Source organism: Homo sapiens, chromosome 8 (assembly GCF_000001405.40).
Source record: "Homo sapiens chromosome 8, GRCh38.p14 Primary Assembly".
Taxonomy (NCBI): Eukaryota; Metazoa; Chordata; class Mammalia; order Primates; family Hominidae; genus Homo; species Homo sapiens.
In genome coordinates, this window is record NC_000008.11 from 50,728,231 (window position 1) to 50,751,106 (window position 22,876).

At 34.7% G+C, this 22,876-nt stretch overlaps 1 protein-coding gene and 1 pseudogene across 13 annotated transcripts in view; both read left to right on the top strand.

The window, feature by feature from the left end:
- Positions 1-22,876, top strand: part of SNTG1 (syntrophin gamma 1) — an 886,897-nt gene that overhangs the window by 818,435 nt on the left and 45,586 nt on the right. The gene's annotated exons all lie outside the window — the stretch shown is intronic.
- Positions 6,028-6,136, top strand: LOC124902098 (uncharacterized; annotated as a pseudogene).

Consider the following 22,876-nt stretch of genomic DNA (forward strand, 5'->3'; position numbering starts at 1 on the left):
TGAAACACTAACTATATACGAAGAGGCCATTGAACTGTCTGTCCTCTTTTGCCCAAACTCTGAGGGTGATGCAGCGCCGAGGGCACCACTAGGTGTCTTGATGATGCTCCAGCACCTCTTTTGTTGTACAATGGTTCTGTAGGGATGAGGAGTTACAAAGACTCCTGCAAAAATTCTGCAAGTCCTAAAATGTTGAGGCCTGGTGAACAGGAAAGGCAAACTCATACCAGAGTGTGTGTCTATTCATGTCTAAATAAATTAATGCCTCTTTGGGGTGAAAAGAGCCCAATATTATCAATCTGCCACCAAATAGTTGATTGATTTAGCCACATTGGTGGCACCTTGAGCACTCATTTTTGGCTTCTATTGGTGACAGATTGAACATTCAGCTGTGGTAGAAGCTGGATCCTCCTGTGTGCATGAGGAGTCAGGTTGGGCTCATGTGTGGCCCGCATTTGTTAATGCATTCTTTATGCCAATGACAGAGCCAGGCTGTTGTAAAATCTCTGAAGTATTAGGAGTGCTCATTGTTTGGGGCTTTTTCCTCGGACCCCTTTTTCCCTAATGTGATATTTTAGTAATCCTAGATCCCTGACTGGGTCAAATCTTTCACCTCTGTCCATGAATCACCCATATTCTTATCTCATTCCACTTGTATTTGCAGAAAATGGATACCCAGATGCACTGTCCAGAGTTCTGTGCAGTGGGGAGCATTTTCTCCTCACTTATGTTTTAAGAACAACTAACTGAGGGGCTGTTGAAGAGGAAACCTCAATATTTAGCTTGCATGCTGAGCCTGTCTATCTGTGAGCAAATCTTCGCCTTTTGTTCTATCTTAGGTCACCATAGGGATTGTCCCTTAGGTGGCATATTTGCTAGTTGTTGAGTGGTGCAGGTCCTAGGCTGGTGATGAGATGGACACCTGGGCTGCCAGCTTGGATAGCTTGCTGGTGCCCTGTGGCTTGGCTCATCCCTGATTCCAGGTGAATACATTACATACTACAACTTTTTACATTGCCCTGCTGTACCTTATAGCTTATTAGGCAGACAGAGTCCAAATATAATGTGTAGCCCTGGATACATGGGATACATGTAAGCATTTCTCTCTACAAGGGCCTCTGACTAAGAAATGGTAAGCAGATTTGCTGGAGATGGAATCACTTTTCTCCAGAGACCAAAGAGGTCTATATTGTGATTCTCCTATGAGGGCTTCACATAAATTTCACACAGGTTCTTTCTTTGGAATAGACACTTCTAATGTCATAGAGTTTGGCAAATTAAGTTAAGCCCATGTCTACCTCCCCTCCAGTGATGGGGGTCTCTTTTGTCAGCCAGCTAGCAGGCAATCCATGTCCAATATTTCATTTTTGCCTTTGTATTGAGAACTACACCTAGCATGAGCTATGCTAGTTTGAATTTCATAGAGTAGTATTCACGGCAGAGAAATAGGTTTGTGAGTTGGTACACTCAGGACACACCTGTATGTAAAGAGGAAGGGAGGATAGGCAAGAAGGATAAGCTGACCCACAGGTAATTGTACCTAAGGGCTAGTCATACTTAAGGGGAATTCTGAAGCTTTGATTGTCCTACAGAGTTATCCTAACAGAAACAACAGGGTCAGACATTTATATTTCTATATCACCTAGGACTTCAACTGTGACCAAGGAATTCATTATGATGGGTAAAAAGGCAAATCGGCAGCAGCAGGTACCCCGAGCAGCTGGGAGATGGGAGTGCTAACCCTGACCTGGAGGGAGCACCCCGTATTCACTACACGGACTGCGATGCTAAAAAGTAGTTGGATAAGAAAAAATGAGAGCGATTGGGAAGAGAAGATAGATCAGTTTCAGAGGAGACTGGAAGAAAAAAATTTCAATCCAGAATATTGTACAAATATACTTTGGAAATGATAAGGTTTAATTAATTTTGAATGAAAGAAAGTGATTTGAATATATGAAAGTAAAACTATATTTGGAAAAACAAAGAGAACCGTGGAAAGACATGCTTAGTTTTCTCTGCTAAGTGGAGGGGGCTATGCCACATATTGAGTGAGGCCGAGGGGATGAAGGCATTAATTAGTGTGAAAAAGAACACTGCTATTTAAAAGGCTTTGAAATAATCAAATTAGTGAAAGCACATATCTCTTCAAAGGATTTAAGCATTCACAGTAAAAAATTATTTCTGCTTTTATTATTTCACACTATTTTGGCACTACTCAGCACTCTGTTTGCTCTGACATTAGGGGCATTACATGACAAAAGCTTTATGCATTAACGAAGATGAACAAAAAGATTATAGGAGCAAATGGAACAAGAGGATGTGTTTTGCAGACGTGATATAACCTAGAACTAGCAGTCAGCATATGTACCATTAATGGCATTGAAAAATCATTATAGACATTCATAAGGATATGTTGTCTCAAAATGCTATGAATTTTATGACATGTTTAAGATGAAATAAAAAGAATTTTTAATGAATACAGAAAGATCCATCATAAAATATGAAGGAGGCAATATTCATCTTCAGAAAGTTCTTACTTCTGCTTCCATATCCTCCCAGAAGCATCACCATTAGTACTTGTATTCAGGTGACTTCTGACATTCAAGTTTGCCATCAGCTTACTGTTCTATTGGAAGAACGCTACTAAACTAGTTTGAAATAATAGAGGAAAAAACTTTGCAATCTACAAAGCGATTTTATGAGCATTATTATTTCACCCCTTTTTACACTCACCTTTAAAGTAGAATAGTCAGACATTATTACTTCTAATTTACAGTAAAATATGATCAGGCTCTAATAAATTAAGAATCTTGCCCAAAGTCATGTGGCTTATAAGTAGAATATAAAATTCAGATTACATTTTAGGGTTTGTGGCTCTGAGCTCAGTATTCATCTTTATTTCAGTACACTGCCAACAACAAAATACATGATCATTCCTGGGATATATGCATTGTAATAGGGGAAAGCATCTTAATTTCCTGATGATGGAGTTCAGGCCAGTGCCTGGAGAAGAGGGCACAAAAGGAGATAAACAGGAGAGAGTGGTTTCTGGTCTTTAGAATCCCCTTGATCTCATTCGATGTAGGCAACTACTGATTATCCTAGAGTGCATGAACTTTACCAGTATGAGAAAAAGGGAGACAAATTGGCATATTTTTTTGAGAGTTTTAGTATCATTATGCAAATTAGTAAATTCTACACATATTTTATACAGATCTCATTACTATATCTTGATTTACTTTCTACCTGATTGAAAAGCTTTTGACGCCAAAAATTCTTGCTCCTGTGTTTCTTACTAGCACCTGGTTTCTAACCAAATCAAAGTGAATTAAATAAGCCATCCCACTCTACACGTACTTCTAACAGCTTACTCAACACTCTCCTGTCTGGGTCTACCTCAGAGCCAGCTATAAGGCATTTACAATGGCACTCACAATTTGCATTACAGAGCAATGTAAACTACATGCTATCAAAAATGGTGATGTCTGCTCATCCTTTTCATCATTAATATTCTTAACACAATTGCCATAGTGTTTATCAGAATCTTAGGAACAAAATATTGGTAAAAGAAATAAGACTGCCAATAAGTCCTTGAGTTTAGCCATTTTTCAGAACTTTATAACTTTCATTGACAATAATTTTGACTTAGGTTATTCCAAATTGGCCTTAGTAAATTTCTTTGAGTTTTACAAGTTTACACAATTTGCCTACGTTCTTGTCTCTTTTCCTAGTTTACTGCATTATCTTTTAGCTGACAAGTCCTTCAGTTAAGTATATTCATTAACTTCTTTATATCCATCTTTGGGGTATCCTACTGATAGCCAAGGATTCATGCTTCATATTCAAAAATGTATCAAACCTCTTTCATATGACTCTAATACACATTCTTATAGCCAGAGGAACTTTATTATGAGTTTTTAAAGTCTGTTCACTCTTAAAAGTACATCTAGTTGAAATAGCAAATACCTGTTTAATAGTGTAATTACTATATATAAAATATCATTTCAAATTTATAATTATAATTTGAGAATTTCAAAACCTTGCATTTATAGTTAAGCCAAGCTAAAAATAAAGTATCTTGTCCAACACTACACAGTAGGTTAATGTCAAGGCGTGCTACAAACAGTGAGGTACTTTGGCAGACATTTTTTCTCTATTTGTTACAGGTGTCTTTGTTTGTTTTAACATAAAATAAATTTCACGTCCTTATGTTTCCCCTAACATTATATTACTTGCATTTTTCCGTATATCTACATAATACTCATCAGCATTATTTTAACACAAAATGTTTAGAATTTTCATTTTTTGATATTCATTAATAATAAGGTGTTTAACATATTCCTTTACATTTTATATATTGTATTTCCATACAATTAATTTTTATAAATGGAATTTCTGGATCAAATAATATTAACATTTTAAGGGCTTAAAATATATATTTAAAATTGCTGTACTAAAATTTTACAACGTCATCAACAATGTTATGTAAATATTTTTTCCACATAACCTTACTAGCTTTAGTTAATATAATTTTCAGTGATCTTTACTAATATAATGATGAAAAAAACAGTCTCTGTAATATTAATGCAGTCTTCTTGATTTCTAATGAGGTTGAACAGGTTCTCCTATGGTTGTTAACAAAAATAATTGTTTTTCCTTTTTTAAAAAATAACATCTTTCTGCAATATTTTTTGTATTTTGTGTATTTTTTTCAACTTTTATTTTAGATACAGGAGGCAAATGTGCAGGTTTGTTACATGGGAATTTTCATGATGCTGAGATTCAAGGTATGGATCCTGCCACTCAGACTGTGAGCATAGTACCTGATAGACAGTTTTTCAACAGACAACCCCCTCCCTACCCCTCTAGTGTTCTTCAGTGTTTATTGTTCTCATATTTATGTTATTTTATGCTCAATGTTTAGCTCTCCTTACAAATGAGAACATGTGGAATTTGGTTTTCTGTTTTGCATTTAATTTGCTTAGGATTATGGCCTCCATCTCTATCCATGCTGTTGCAAAGGGAAAGATTTTATTCTTTTTTATGACCATGTAGTATTCCATGATGTATAGGTACCACATTTTTTTTTCCAATCTACCATTGATAGGGACTTGGGTTGATTCCATGTCTTTGCAATTGTGAATAGTGCAGCAATGAACACATGAATGAATGTATCTTTTTGATAGAATGATTTATAGTCCTTTGGATATATACCCAGTAATGGGATATCTGGGCTAAATGGTATCTCTGTTTTAACTTCTTTGATTAATCATGAGACTGCTTTCCACAGTGGTGGTGCAAATTTACATTCCCACCAACAGTGTATAACACTCTCTTTTCTCTTCAGCCTTACCAGGATCTGTTGTTTTTGACATTTTAATAATAGCCATTTTGACAAGTGTGAAATGGTATCTCATTGTGGTTTTGATTTGCATTTCTCTGATGATTAGTGATGCTGAGCATTTTTTCATGTGTTTGTTGGCTGCTTGTATGTCTTCTTTTAAGAAATGTGTGTTCGTGTCCTTCGTCTATTTTTTAATGGAGTTTTTTCTTTTCTTTATCAGGTGCTTAGAGTTTTTCTTACATTTTATCGTATTTTATACTATATAGCATTATGACTATTATTTTTCTTTTAATATTGGTTAATATGCATTAATTTTACTAAATGAATTTGTAATTTCTTATTACTGTCATGTCTAGGACTTCATATATTTCCAAAATTACTAAAAATTCACTTATATAATTCTATGTAATTTTTCTATAACTTAGATTGCTTAAATTACTTTACTTTTTGAAATATGAGAGATTTGCTTTAAAGGAAGTTATGTGATGAAAAACTTAACTTTAAAATATTTTTTCCAAAGACTTAATTGCCCCAAATAGTTTTATTGTGAAAGGGATACTATATAAAATATATATAAAGGAAACATTGAAGATGAATTGAAATGACTGGATATTGCTTTTCAATAACTTGCATAGGTTAATGTAGTAAGAAACAAACTATAGACATTTATTTATACAGAGACTATTGCTTCTCGGCCTTTTGGCTAAGATCAAGTGTAGTATTTATATAGAGACTGACATCTTCAGGATAGTGACAGTATCTTTTTCATTCTAATTATCTAGCAAAATACTCAGTATATACTAGCCACTTCATAAATATCTGTTGAATAAATAAATTTTTTAAATGAAATTCTATATTAATTTATTCTGCCTCAATATCATTACATATTACTTGAAAATTCTCCCATCATTATTGACATATCTATGATTTTAATGTTTCACTATGTATTTTTAAAATATAAAAATTTTAATTAGTATTTGCTTTGAATGGATTTTGAACTATGTTGTTTCCAGAATCTTTTCTTTCTAAATGGTGGCACTTTCTCTCTCTCTTTCGCTCTCTCATCTCTTTCTCTGTCTCTCTCTCTCTGGAGATATATATAGATATGTATATATGGACATATATATATCTCTCTATATATGGACATTATATATCTATATATATGGACATGTATATAGATATCTATATATATGGACATATATATAGATATCTATATATATGGACATATATATAGATATCTATATATATGGACATATATATATCTATATATATGGACATATATATATCTATATATATGGACATATATATATCTATATATATGGACATATATATATCTATATATATGTCCATATACATATATAGATATATATGGACATATATATCTATATATCCATATATATCTATCCATATATATGTCCATATATATATATCTCAACCATGCAACTTGTAATGTTAAACAATTTTACAATTCAGTGGCTTTAATTAATTTACACCACTGTATAATCATTACTACTATCTGTTCATCATCCGAAACAGAAACTCTGTAACTATTAAGCAATAATTACTCATTCTTCCTGCCCGACATATTGGATTTAAAAAATGATCTAACTGTATGCTGTACACAAGAGGCTAACATTGGATCTAAAGACACAGGTGGTTTAAAAGAGAATTGTTGAGAAAATATATTCCATGCAAATGATAGCCAAAGAAAAGCTAATTTTCTAAACTAATATTAGACAAAAACTCCTCCAATCTAAAGGAGCATGTTCTAAACCAATGAAAGGAAGCTAAGAAACTTGAAAACAGGTTAGAGGAATTGCAAACTAGAATAGCCAGTTTAGGGAAGAACACAAATGACCTGATGGAGCTGAGAAACATAGCACAAGAACTTCGTGAAGCATACACAAGTATCAATAGTCAAATCGATCAATCAGAAGAAAGGGTATCAGAGATTGAAGATCAACTTAATGAAATAAAGTGTGAAGACAAGATTAGAGAAAAAAGAATGAAAAGGAATGATCGAAGCCTCCAAGAAATATGGAACTGTGTGAAAAGACCAAACCTATGATTGATTGGTGTACCAGAAAGTGATGGAGAGAATGGAATCAAGTTGGAAACACTCTTTAGGATAATATCCAGGAGAACTTCCCCAACCTAGCAAGATAGGCCAACATTCAAATTCAGGAAATACAGAGAACACCACAAAGATACTCCTCAAGAAGAGCACCACAAGACACATAATCATCAGATTAACCAAGGTTGAAATGAAGGAAAAAATGTTAAGGGCAGCCAGAGAGAAAGGTCGGGTTACCCACAAAGGGAAACCCATCAGACTAACAGTGGATCTCTCTGCAGAAACCCTACAAGCTAGAAGAGATTGGGGGCCAATATTTAACATTCTTAAAGAAAAGGATTTTCAACCCAGAATTTCATATCCAGCCAAACTAAGCTTCATACCCAAAGGAGAAATAAAATCTTTTACAAACAAGCAAATGCTGAGAGATTTTGTCACCACCAGGCCTGCCTTACCAGAGCTCCTGAAGGAAGTACTAAATATGGAAAGGAAAAAACAGTACCAGCCACTGCAAGAACATACCAAATTGTAAAGGCCATCGAGACTATGAAGAAACTGCATCAACTAATGGGCAAAATAACCAGCTAGCATCATAATGACAGGCTCAAATTCACACCTAACAATATAAACCTTAATTGCAAATGGGCTAAATGCCCCAATTAAAAGATCAAAAAACACAAAGAAGGGCATTACATAACGGTAAAGGGATCAATGCAACAAGAAGAGCTAACTATCCTAAATATATGCACCCAATACAGGAGCACTCAGATTCATAAAGCAAGTTCTTAGAGATGTACAAAGAAACTTAGACTCCCACACAGTAAGAGTGGAATATTTTCACACCCCACTGTCAATATAAGACCGATCAACAAGAGAGAAAATTAACAAGGATATTCAGAACTTGGATCAGCTCTGGACCAAGTGGACCTAATAGACATCAACAGAACTCTCCACCCCAAATCAACAGAAGATACATTCTTTTCAGCACCACATCGCACTTATTCTAAAATTGACCACAAGATTGGAAGAAAAAACACTCCCCAGCAAATGCAAAAGAATGGAAATCATAACAGTCTCTCAGACCACAGTGCAATCAAATTCGAACTCAGGACTAAGAAACTCAGTCAAAACTGTACAACTACATGGAAACTGAACAACCTGCTCCTGAATGACTACTGGGTAAATAAATGAAATAAATAAGTTATTTGAATCCACTGAGAATAAAGACACAACGTACCGGAATCTCTGGGAGGCAGCTAAAGCAGTGTTTAGAGGGAAATTTATAGCACTAAATTCCCACTGGAGAAAGTGGGAAAGATCTAAAATCAATACCCTATCAGCACAATTAAAAGAACTAGAGAAGTAAAAGCAAACAAATTCAAAAGCTAGCAGAACACAAGAAAAAACTCAAATCAGAGCAGAAATGAAGGAAATAGAGACATGAAAAACCCTTCAAAAAATCAATGAATCCAGGAGCTGGTTTTTTGAAAAGAGTAACAAAATAGACCACTAGCCGGACTAATAAAGAAGAAAAGAGAAAAGAGTGAAATAGAAACAATAAAAAACAATAAAGGGCATATTACCACTGATCCCACAGAAATACAAACTACCACCAGAGAATACTATAAACAGCTCTATTCAAATAAACCAGAAAATGTAGAATAAATGGATAAATTCCTGGACACATACACCCTCCTAAGACTAAACCAGGAAGAAGTCAAATCCCTGAATAGACCAATAACAAGTTCTGAAATTGAGGTAGTAATTAATAACCTACCAACCAAAAAAAGCACAGGACTAGATGGATTCACAGCAGAATTCAACCAGAGTTACAAAGAGGATCTGGTACCACTCCTTCTGAAAGTATTCCAAAAAATAGCAAGAGAGGGACTCCTCCCTAACTCATTTTATGAGGCCAGCATCATCCTGATAGCAAAACCTAGTAGAGACACAACAAAAAAAGAAAATTTCAGGCCAATATTTCTGATGAATATCAGTGAGAAAATCCTCAATAAAATATGGGCAAACGAAATCCAGCAGCACATCAAAAAGCTTGTCCACCATGATCACGTCGGCTTCATCCCTGGGACATAAGGCTGTTTCAACGTATGCAAATCAATAAACGTAATCCATCATATAAACAGAACCAATTACAAAAATCACATGATTATCTCAGTAGATGCAGAAAAGGCCTTCAATAAAATTCAACACCCTTCATGCTAAAACCCCTCAATAAAATAAGTATTGATGGAAAGTATCTCAAAATAATAAGAGCTATTTATGACAAACCCACAGCCAATATCATACTGAATGGGCAAAAGTGGGAAGCATTCCCTTTGAAAACCAGCACAAGACTAGGATGCCATCTCTCACCACTCCAATTCAAGATAGTATTGGAAGTTCTGGCCAGGGCAATCAGGCAAGAGAAAGAAAGAAAGGATATTCACATAAGAAAAGAGGAAGTCAAATTGTCTCTCTTTGCAGATGACATGATTATATGTTTAGAAAACCCCATCGTCTCAGACCAATATCTCCTTAAGCTGAGAAGCAACTTCAGCAAAGCCTCAAGATACAAAATCAATGTACAAATATCACAAGCTTTCCTATACACCAATAACAGACAAACAGAGAGCCAAATCATGAGTGAAATTTTATTCACAATTGCTACAAACAGAATAAAATACCTAGGGATACAACTTACTAAGAATGTGAAGGACCTCTTCAAAGAGAACTAGAAACCACTGCTTGAAGAAGTAAGAGAGGACACAAACAAATGGAAAAACATCCATGCTCATGAATAGGAAGAATCAATATTGTGAAAATGGCCATACTGCCCAAAGTAATTTATAGATTCAATGCTATCCTCATCCAGCTACCATTGACTTTCTTCACAGAATTAGAAAAAACTACTTCAAATTTCATATGAAACTGAAAAAGAGCCCACACAGCCAGGACAATCCTAAACAAAAAGAACAAAGCTGGAGGCATCATGATACCTGACTTCAAACTATACTACAAAGCTACAGTAACCAAAACAGCATGGTACTTGTACCAAAACAGAGATATAGACCAATGGAACAGAATAGAGGCCTCAGAAATAACACCACACATCTATGACCATCTGATCTTCCACAAACCTGACAAAAAAAAAAAAGCAATGGGGAAAGGATTCCCTATTTAATAAATGGTGCTAGGAAAACTGGCTAGCCATACGCAGAAAACTGAAACTGGACCCCCTTTTTACACCTTATACAAAAATTAACTCAAGATGGATTAAAGACTTAAACATAAGACGTAAAACCATAAAAACCCTAGAAGAAAACCTAGGCAATACCATTCAGGACATAGGCATGAGCAAAGACTTCATGACTAAGACACAAAAAGCAATGGCAACAAAAGCCAAAATTGACAAATGGGATCTTGTTAAACTAAAGAGCTTCTGCACAGCGAAAGAGACTATCATCAGGATGAACAGGCCATCTACACAATGGGAGAAAAGTTTTACAATCTATCAATCTCAAAAAGGGCTAATATCCAGAATCTACAAGGAACTTAAACAAATTTACAAGAAAAAAACAAACAACCCCATCAAAAAGTGGGCCAAGTATATGAACAGACACTCTCAAAAAAAGACATTTATATAGCCAACAAGCATATGAAAAAAAGCTCATCATCACTGGTCTTTAGAAAAATGCAGATCAAAACCACAATGAGACACCATCTCACACCAATTAGAATGGTGATCATTAAAAAGTCTGGAAATAATAGATGCTGAAGAGGATGTGGAGAAATAGGAACACTTTTACACTGTTGGTGGGAGTGTAAATTAGTTCAGCCATTGTGGAAGACACTATGGCAATTCCTCAAAGATCTAGAACCAGAAATACCATTTGACCCAGCAATCCATTACTGGGTATATACTGGATGTGGGGCTGGGGGAGGGATAGCATTACGAGAAAACAACATAGATAATGGATTGTTGGGTGCAGCAAACCACCATGGCATGTGTATCCCAGAACTTAAAGTATAATAAAAAAATAAAATAAATACAACGTGGCGGCATCACTCCATTTGATTTTAAACAGGGCTATAGTAACCAAAACAGCATGGCACTAGTTCAAAACCAGACACATATACCAGTGGAACAGAATGGGGAACCCAGAAATAAGACCATACACCTACAACTATTTCATCTTTGACAAACCTGACAAAAACAATCAGTGGGGTAAGGATTCCCTATTCAATTAATGATGCTGAGATAACTGGCTGGCCAGTTGCAGAAGAAATTGGACCCCTTTTTTTGCACCATATACCAAAATTAACACAAGATATATTAAAGACTTAAATATAAAACCCAAACTATAAAAACTCTGGAATACAGCCTAGGCAATACCATTCTAGACATAGGACTGGGCAAAGATTTCATGATGAAGATGCCAAAAGCAATTACAACAAAAGCAAAGATTGGAAAATGGGATCTAATTAAACTAAAAAGCTCTGCGCAGCAAAAGAAACTATCAACAGAGTGAACAGACAACCAACAGAATGGGAGAAAATTTTTGCAAACTGTGCATCTGACAAAGGTCTAATATCCAGCATCTACAAGGAACTTAAACAAATTTACAAGAAAAAAAAAACAGCCTTATTAAAAAGTGGGCAAAGGATATGAACCACACTTTTCAAAAGAAGACATACATGTGGCCAAAAAACATATGAAAAAAAAAAAAACCTCAACATCACTGATTATTAGAGAAATGCAAATCAAAACCACAGTGAGATACCATCTCACACCTGCCAGAATGGCTACCATTAGAAACAAAACAAAACAAAACAAAACAAAAACAATGCTGACAAGGTTGTAGAGAAAAAGGAAAGCTTTTACCTGGTTGGTGGGAGTATAAATTAGTTTAACCATTGTGGAAGACAGTATGGTAATTCCTCAAAGACCTAAAAATAGAAATATTATTTAACCCATCAATCCCATTACTGAGTATATACTCAAAGGAATATAGATTGTTCTATCATAAAGAGAGATGCACAAGTATGTTCACTGCAGCACTGTTCACAATAACAAAGACATGGAGTCAATCTAAATGCCCATCAGTGGTAAACTAGATAAAGAAATAGTGGTGTATATACACCATGGAATACTAAGCAGCCATAAAAAAGAATGAGATCATTTACATTGCAGGCACATGGATGGAGCTGGAGGCCATTATCTTTAGCAAACCAATACAAGAACAGAAAACCAAACACCACATGTTCTCACTTATAAAAAGGAGCTAAATGATGAGAACACATGGTCACATAGAGAAGAACAACATACACTGAGGCCTATCAGAGGACGGAGGTTTGGAGAAGGGAGAAGAGCAGGAAAAATAACTACTGGGTACTAGGCTTAATACCTGGGTGACAAAATAATCTGTACAAAACTCCTCCATGATGTAAGTTTACCCACATAACAAACCTTCACAAGAACTTTTCTTTTTTTTCTGAGGCAGAGTCTTGCTCTGTCACCTAAGCTGGAGTACAGTGGTGCAATCTCAGTTCATCGCAACACTCACCTCCTGGGTTCAAGCAATTCTTCTTCCTCAGCCTCCTGAGGCTGGCATTACAGGTGTGTGCCACCAGTCCTGGCTAGTTTTTGTATTTTTAGTAGAGATGGGGTTTCGCCATGTTGGCCAGGCTGGTCTTAAATTCCTGACCTCAGGTGATCTTCCCGCATCCACTTCCCAAGTGTTGGGATTACAGGCACGAGCCACTGCACCTGACCAAGTACCCCTGAACTTAAAATAAAAGTTAAATGTAAGAAAAAGATAATTTAACAGTTTCTCACATAACAAAACATACTGTTACCATCCAAATCTTATTCCATGGTATTTACTCAAAGTATCTAAAAAGCTATGTCCTCACAAAAGTCTGCACATGGATATTTAGAGCAGTTTTATTCATAATTGCCCAAACATGGAAACAACCAGCATTCACTTTAGTATGTGAATGGATAACTAAACTATGGTATACCTGGAAAATGGAATATTATTGAGCATCAGAAAAGAAAAGCCATGAAATGGCATGATGGAAACAAATGCACATTACTAAGTGAAAGAAGTCAATTGGAAAGGATTATATACTGTATGATTCCAACTATATGAGATTCTGGAAAAGGCAAAACTGTGAAGATGGTAAAAGACCAGTGGTTACCAGTGATTGTGGGAAAGAGAGGGATGAGTAGGTGGACCACAGAGGATTTCCAGGGCAATGAAACTACTCTGCAAGACACTGTAATGGTAGATAAATGTTATTACACATTTGTTAAAATCCATAGTATTTATAACACCAAAAGTGAACCCAAATGTAAACTTAGGACTTTGAAGGATAATAATATCAATGTAGGTTCGTAGATTATAACAAATGCACCACTCTGTTTCTTTTGCTTATTATTTCTGTGAACATGAAACTGCTCTCAAAAATAAAATCTATTATTAATTTTAAAAAAATCATACACACACAAAATTAACCAACTGGATCTAACAGACATATGCATGCCATATATTCAACCACAGTTGAATACACATTTTTCTGAAGGGCACATGGGACATTCTTCAGATTAGACCATGTGTTAAGACACAAAATACGTCATGATAGATTTTAAATGATTGAAATTATACAAAATATCTTTTCTGCTCACAATGGAATGAAACTAAAAATCAATAACAGAAGAAACACTGGACAATCCAGAAAGAAATGGAAATCAACACACTCCTAACTGTCAACTGGATAAAGAAGAAAACAAATATTTAGAGGAAAATGAAAGTGAAACACAAACATACCAAAATATATGAGACAAAGCGAAAGCAGTACTAAAAGGGAAACTTGTAGGAGTATAAGTATATATATATTAAAAAAGAGGATGAAAACAAAAACTCATCTAAAAATAAGAAACATCACAAATCAGTGACCTGACATTACATCTTAAAGAAGTAGAAAAAGACGAGTAGACTGAAAGCTAGCTAGAAAGGTGAAAACAATAAAGATTATAGTTGAAAAAAATAAAATAGATACTAGAAAGTAATGAAGAAAAATCAACAAAATTAAAGGTTGGTTCCTTGAAAAAATAACAAAATTTATAAGTCTTTAGCCTGATTGTCTCAACAAGAAGACCCAAATTACTAAAATCAGAAAAAAAGAGAAGAGACATTTTGATAATATTGTAAAAATAAATGGATTAAGAGACAATTTTATGAGCAATTGCATTTCAGAAATTTGATAACCTAGATGAAATAGATAAATTCCTGGAAATATACACACTGCCAAAAGTGAATGAATCTGTAGCTATTAAGGGGATTGAATCCATAATCATAAATCTGTCAACAGAGAAGAGGCCTGGACCACATAGCTTTATTGGTGAATTTTACCAAACATTAAAAAAATCAAAGTTATTCTCAAATTCTTACCAAAAAAAAAAAAAATTGAAGGAGTGGGAATGCTTTGTAAGTCATTCTGTGAGGCCAACATTACCTTGACACCAAAGCCAGAAGAAGATGCTACAAGAAAAGAAAATAGTAGCTCAATATTCCTAATGAATATTAATTTAAAAAACTCTCAAAAAATACTAGCAAACAGAACTCAGCAACATATTAAAAGGATTATACACCATGGCCAAGTAGTATTTATTAATGAAATTCAAGGAAGATTCAATATATGTAAATCAATCAATGTAATACAACACCTTAATAGAATGAAGTTTAAATAAAAATACAAGAATCTTCTCAATTAATACAGAAAAATACACTTGTCAGAACGCATCAACCTTTAACAAAAAAACTTAATAAACTAGGAATAGAAAGATATTTGAAATATGAAAAACGACCCACAGATAATATTATATCCAATGCTGAAAGACTGAAAGTTTTCTCCTAAATCAGGAACAAGAATACTTGCTTTGACTTCTTCTGTTTGACATGGTATTATTGACAGTTTTAGCCAGAGCTATTAGGCAAGAAAAAAAAAAAGCCAAAGAAAATTGAAAATTAGTAAAATTATCTCTGCTCACAGATGACATAATCTTGTATGTAGACAACTACACACACAAACACACACACATCAGATGTATTAGGCCATTCTTGGATCAGTATAAAGAAATACCTGAGACTGGGTAATTCATAAAGGAAAGAGGTTTAGTTGGCTTACTGTTCTTCAGCCTATACAGGAAGCACGGTGCTGGCATCTGATGGCTTCTGGGGAAGTCTCAGGGAGTTTTTAGTCATGGTGGAAGATGAAGTGGAAGCAAGCTTGTCACATGGCAAAAATAGGAGCAGAGAGAGAGAGAGAGGAGGTGACACACATTTTTCAGACAGGATTTCCTATGAACCCAGACTGAGAGCTCACTTATTGCCAAGGGGATGGCCCAAGCCATTCGTGGGTGCAGATCTTTCAGATATCTGCCCCCGTGATCCACACACCTCCTATAAGGCCCCTTTCCAAACACTGGGGATTAGATTTCAACATGAGATTTAAGCGGGGACAAATATCCAAACTAAATAACCACACAAAACCTGTTTTGGCTAATACATAATAATAGCAAAGTCACAGTATACAAAATCAACACACATACAAAAAGAGTTGTGTATCTATACACTAACAATGAATAATCTGGAAAAGCATTTGAGAAGACAATTTTATTTACAATAACATAAAGAGAATAAAATAATTGGGGATATACTTAACCAAGTAGGTGAAAGTCTTGTATACTAAAATCTACAGAAAATTGATGAAAGCAATATAAAAGAAACAACATCCTGTGTTTATGAATTGAAAGACATATTATTATTAAGATGACAATATGATACAACGCAGTCCTCATCAAAATGTCACTGATATTTTTTGAAGAAATAGAAAAGTCCGTCTTATAACTAACATAAAATTTTAAGGATCCCCAAATACCCAAAACAATCTTGAAAAAGAACAAAAGTTGTAGGTCTTTGACTTCTGATTACAAAACTTATTACAAAGCTATAGTAATTAAAATAGTGTTGTCCTGTCATAGAGACAGACATAAAAACATGGAATAGAATAGAGATCACAGAATGAACCTCATATGTATGGTAAAATGATTTTCAACAAGGGTGCCAAGACCATCCAATGAGGAAAGAGCAGTGTTTTCAACTAATGGTGTTTGTTAGTAAAACAAAATACTCACCTGCAAAAGGATAAAGTTAGACCCTGGCCTTATACCATACTCAAAAATTAACTCAAAATGAGTCAAAGACCTAACTGTAAGAGTTAAAATGATAAAACTTGTAGAAGAAAGCATAGGGGAAAAGCTTCATTACTTTAAATTTGGCAATAATTTCTTTGCTATGACGCCGAAAGCTCAGGCAACAAAATAAAAGATAGATAAATTGGACAACATTAAAGCGAATGACTTTTGTACATCAAAGGGTACTACAACAGAGTGCAAAGGTCACCCACAGAATGGAAGAATGTATTTGCAAATCATATATGTGATAATGGGTTAATATCCAAAATGTATAAAATGCTTATACAACTCAGTAACAACAAAACAAGCAACTCAATTCAAAATAGAACATGAGTAGATATTGCAACAAAGAATATATACAAATGGCCAGCAAGCACACAAAAAGATGACCAACATCACTAGCCATTAGTGAAATGCAAGTCAGAACCACAGGAGTTACCACTTTACATTCATTGGGATGGCAAAAATCAGAAAGAAAACAAACAAAGTTGTTGATGAGGATGTGGAGAACCTCATAAATGGAAGAGTAACCCTTTCTTTCACATTGCTGGTATAATTATAAAATGATGTAGCCTCTGAAAAACATTTGGTGGTTCCACAAAAAGTTGAACATAAGTTACCATATGATTTAACAGTGCAGCTTCTCAGTATATACACCAAAGAATTGAAAGCAGGGACTTAAACAGATACTTGTACACCAATGTTCATAGAAGTATGACTCACAGTTGACAAATGGTGAATGCAACTCAAGTGTCGGTCGATAAATGAATGGATAAACAAAATTGGGATTTTCAGACAATGGAATATTATTTAGCCATGGATGGGCCTCGAAAACCTTACGTTAAGTGAAATAAGCCACACACAAAAGGAGAGATGTTTTATGATTCCCCTTAAATGAAATACCTAGAATAGGCAAATTCTTAGAGACAGGAAGTAGAATAAAGGGTGCCTGGGGCAGTGGGGAAAGATAAGTGAAGACATATGATTAATGGGTACAGAGTTCCTGTTTAGGATGAAAAAAATATTCTGTAAATGGCTAGTGGTAATGATTACACAACATTGTGAATGTATTTAACATTCTTCAATCATACATGTAAAAATCATTACGATGCTAAATTTTATATTATGTATATTTTACCACACCAAAAGAAAATGTGAATGTTCTTTTTATTTTTATAATTGTTAATGTTAAATAATAATTTGAAATTAGAAAATAAGGAATTATAGATAATGTAAAAATACATGAGTATATTCTACTTAATTTTGACTGTTCTTATACAAATGTTTTAGTAATAAAGTAATCAAGATATGGAGTTTTAGTACTCTAAAAGTCATGCTTTTCTTCACATAGATCTATGTTGAAATAAACTATAAAACTGTGTTAAGACCAGCTACCCCAGCTGAACGAACACACACAACACATCACACTCAAATCACATGCCTTAAATGAAAGCCTCTCAGGGATATCCACTGGCATCATTAACAAAAAACTGTGAGTCCTTTTTGATTCAAAGAAAATCTTTGGCCTATCTATTCATGAGAAAAACATCGAAAACATTACAATAGGTGCTAGTCTACAAAATACCTGACAGGACTCCTCAAAGTTTTCAAGTACAGTCTGATGAGGAACTGAGAACCTGTCACAGCCAAGTGGAGCCTAAGAAGTCACAATGAATAAATGTAACATGACACCATAACAGAAAAAGACATTAGGTTAAAACTAAAGATATCTAAATAAATGATAGACCTTACTTAATAATCTGCTGATATTAGTTTATTAACTGTGACAAGACACCATACTAATGTGAGATATCATTAATTGGGCAAACTGGGTGTGGAGTGGATATGAACTTTCTGATTGTCTTAACATTTTTGTAAGTCATATATATGTATAATATATATTTGCATATACATATTGTAAATATATATAATATATAATATATTATATTGTAAATATATATAATATATATTATATATATACACATATGCTTTTTATTTTCCCTGCAAAACATCTTTAGACTTGTAGGATGGGTTCAATGTCATTATGTAGTCAAACAATAAATGCAAGTTTACTTTTTTTTAGTGCTTTTGCTCTTCTGCAGATTGTATGCTATCTAAATATGCTATTGTGATATTGGATGATGAGGTATAGTCAAAAAACCTTATAGACTTCTGGAAGGAATTCTGATCTAGTAAGAAATGAATTTCATTATAAAACTATTAGCTCCAGATTAACACCCCCTCAGGTATTCTTGGAGCTACAAATCTGGAAAAGTAGTATAATGCACTGTAGGCCTATATAAATTGAAAAATTGTCTCCTGAAAGGGGGTAGCAGAAAATATTGACTTCAATCATGAAGGGTTATGCTTCAGTAATTCCTTGTTGCATCTTTCTGAAATGATGCACTGAACTAGTAGAATTGTTCAGACCATGGACTTAAACTTTTTCTTGAGCGTGCTACTCATATTCCTCCACATTTGTCAAACTAAGGGTGCCTCAGAAATCTAGCTTAAGTACTACAAGTTTTTTTGTGCATGTGTGTTTTACTCTTAAAAAATTGGCGTATAAAAATTAATATTTAAGAACACATATAAAGTAAACTGGGTACTAGGATTCTACCTTATCATATGCTTACCTTATGTATTAGTTATACAATTAAGGTAACATTCTATTATTTTATATAATCTCCATGTCGAATTTTCCTTTTACCTCTGTTACTTTAATTCTTAAATTTTGATCTTGTTTTAGTATTAATCTGTTGAAGAAAAATGCCAAAATTTTAATTTCAAAAACAAAAATTTTCACACTTCGTTCCTTCCTTCTTTCTTTCCTTCCTCTCTTTTTCTCTTTCTCTCTTTCTGACAGGGCTCACTCTGTAGTGCAGTGGCACGATCACGGCTCACTGTAGCGTCAACCACTGGGCTCAGGTGATTCTCCCATCTCAATCTCCCAGGTAGCTAGGCCTACAGGCTCATGCCATCAAGTCCAGCTAACTTTTTGTCTTTTTTGTAGACAGGGTTTCATCATGTTGCCCAAGCTGTGTAAGACACAATTTTTTTTTAAATGTAAGGTACATTTTTTCCCCATGTACCAAGATAGGAAAAAAGCAAAAACACACACTTTATTGAGTTGAAGGTGAAAGTTGCAGTTTTTTTGTCTGGCATTGTTACCACTCACCATTAAAATACATATGTACAAATGGAGACCATGGGTAATGTCTCCTAATTATAAACCTGTAATATCTAAGCTGAAAATATTACCACGAGGAAAAGTTATGCATATGAATATTTACTGTGGAATTGCTGGTTGGAGATAAACATTTTCTCACTCCATTTACCCTTAAATGTATTTATTGGAACCTTTACCAATCTCATTTTCTCAGTGTCAGTGTGAGATAATCTTGGAGAACAGGCATTTTACCAGGAATTATTTTACATTTTGCTAGGTGAAGGGGTACTACTTTCTCATTAGAAACTCTGCTTAAAGAGGCTAAGACCTTAAGAAATCTGGGTTTTAAGGATCACTGGTGATATGTTAAAATTGGTATTCAGGATATGTTTAACTATAACTTGCTCTTCATATGACAGTGTGAATGTATTGACATAAGTGCTAATTTACAGGCATACCTCATTTTATCATACTTTGCTTTATTGTCCTTCACATATACTGTGTCTTTTACAAATTGCAGGTTTGTGGCAACCCTGCATTGAGCCACTCTATCAGCTGTTTTTCCAACAGCGTGCGCTTACTTTGTATCTCTGTGTCACATTTTGGTAATGCTTAAAATGTTTCAAAGCTTTTTAAATTACATTTGTTATGGTGGCCTGCAATTAGTAATATTTCATGTTATTATTGTAATTATTTTGGAGCACCATGAACTGTGCCCATATAAGATGGTGAATAATTTTAACCAAAAAGATGTGTGTTCTGACTGCTCCACTGACCGTTTCCCACCTCTCTCCCTGTACTTAGGCCTCCCTATTCCCACAGACACAATAATTTGAAAATCAAGCTAATTAATAATCCTGCAATGGACTTTCTAAGCATTCAAATGAAAGACTCACATGCCTCTCACTTTAAATCAAAATCTAGAAATGATTACGCTTGGTGAGAAAGGCGTGTTGAAAACAGAGATAGGCTAAAAGCTGGGCCTCCTGTGACAAACAGTTAAGCAAGTTGTGAATGCAAAGGAAGAGTTTTTGAAGAAATGTAATACTGCTACTCCAGGGAACACATACATGATAAGAAAGTGAAACAGGCTTTTTGCTGATATGGAGAAAGTGTTCATGGTATGGATAGATCAAACCAGCCACAACATTCCCTTAAGCCAAAGCCTAATCCAGGGGAAGGCTCTCTTTTCAGATCTATGAAAGCTGATAAAGATGAAGAAGCTGAAGAAGAAAAGGTTGAAGCTAGCATAAGTTTGTTCATGAGGTTTAAGGAGAGAAGCCATCTCTACACCATAAAAGTACAACGTGAAGCAGCAAGTGCTGATGGAGAAGCTACAGCAAGTTATCCGAAGATCTAGCTAAGATCATTGATAAAGGTGGCTACACTAAACAACAGATTTTTAGTGTAGATAAAACAGCCTTATATTGGAAGAAGATGCCATCTGAAACTTTCATAGGTAGAGAGGAGAAGTCAATGTCTGGCTTCAAAACTTCAAAGGATAGGCTGCCTCTCTTGTTGGGACCAATGCAGCTCGTGACTAAAGTATAGCCAATTCTCATTTACCATTCTAAACATCCTAGGACCCTTAAGAATTGTGCTAAATCTACCCTACCTGTACTCTAAATGGAATATTAAATCCTGAGGAACATCTGTTTACAGCATGGTTTACTGAATATGTTAAGTCCACTATTGACACCCACTGCTTCGAAAAAACAATTCCTTTCAAAATAATACGGCTCACTAAAAATGTACCAAATTATCCAAGAACTCTGAGGGAGATGTGCAAGGAGGCTAATGTCTTCTTGTCTGCTAACACAATATCCATTCTGCAGTCCATGAATCAAGGAGTATTTTCGACTTTCAAGTCTTATTATTTAAGAAATGCACTTTGTAAGGCTATAGATAACATAGATAAAGTGATTCCTCTGATGGATCTTGGCAGTCAATTAAAAACTTTCTAGAAAGGATTCATAATTTTAGATGCCATTACATTATATATGATTCATGGGAGGAGGTCAAAATATCAATATAAATAGGGATTTGGAAGAAGTTGAATCAATTCTAAACCCTCTTCGGAGACTTGGAGAGGTTCAGGACTTCAGTGAAGGAAGTAAATGCAAATGCCATGGAAATAACAAGAAAACTAAAATTATAACTGGAGCCTTGAAGATGCAACTGAATTATTGCAATCTCATGATAAAACTTTGGTGAGTGAGGAGTTTCTTCTTATGGAGGAGCAAAGAAAGTGGTTTCTTCAGATGGAACCTACTTCTTATGAAAATGCTGTGAATATTGTTGAAATGATAACAAAATATTTAGAATATTACATTAATTTAGTTGATAAACAGCAGCAGGATTTGAGTGAATTGACTGCAGTTCAGAAATTCTGTGGGTAAAATGCTATTCGGCTATATTGCAGGCTACAGAAAAATCTTTCATGAAACAGTCAATCAATGCAGCAGACTTCATTGCTGTCTTATTTTAAGAAATTGTCACAGCCACCCCAACCACCAGCAATCACCATCCTGATGAGCCAGCAGCTGTCAGCATCAAGGCAGCACCCTCCACCAGCAAAAGGACTACGGCTCACTGAAGACTTGAATGACCCCTGGCATTTTTTAGTAATAAATTATATTTTAATTAAGGTATATACATTTTTTTAGGCTTAATGTCATTGTACACTTAATAGACTACAGTATAGAAACAAACATCACTTTTATATGCATTGGGGAACCAAACAATTTCTGTGACTCACTTCATTGCAATACTTGCTGTTTCGTGGTGGTCTGGAACAAAATCCACAAAAGCCCTGAGGTATGCCTGTATATACCCCGAGGTATGCCCGTATATGCTTTTATCTATCACATTTTATTCTGAAAAAGATGTGAGACATATACTCTGTTCTTTCTTTACTATTTTATCAGCAACAATAGCTTAAATAGGACTGCACTCAGAAAATATTTGACTATATCAGCTATGTTTTGTTGATCTATTTAGAAACCATAAGAAATCATTTAAAAAATATTT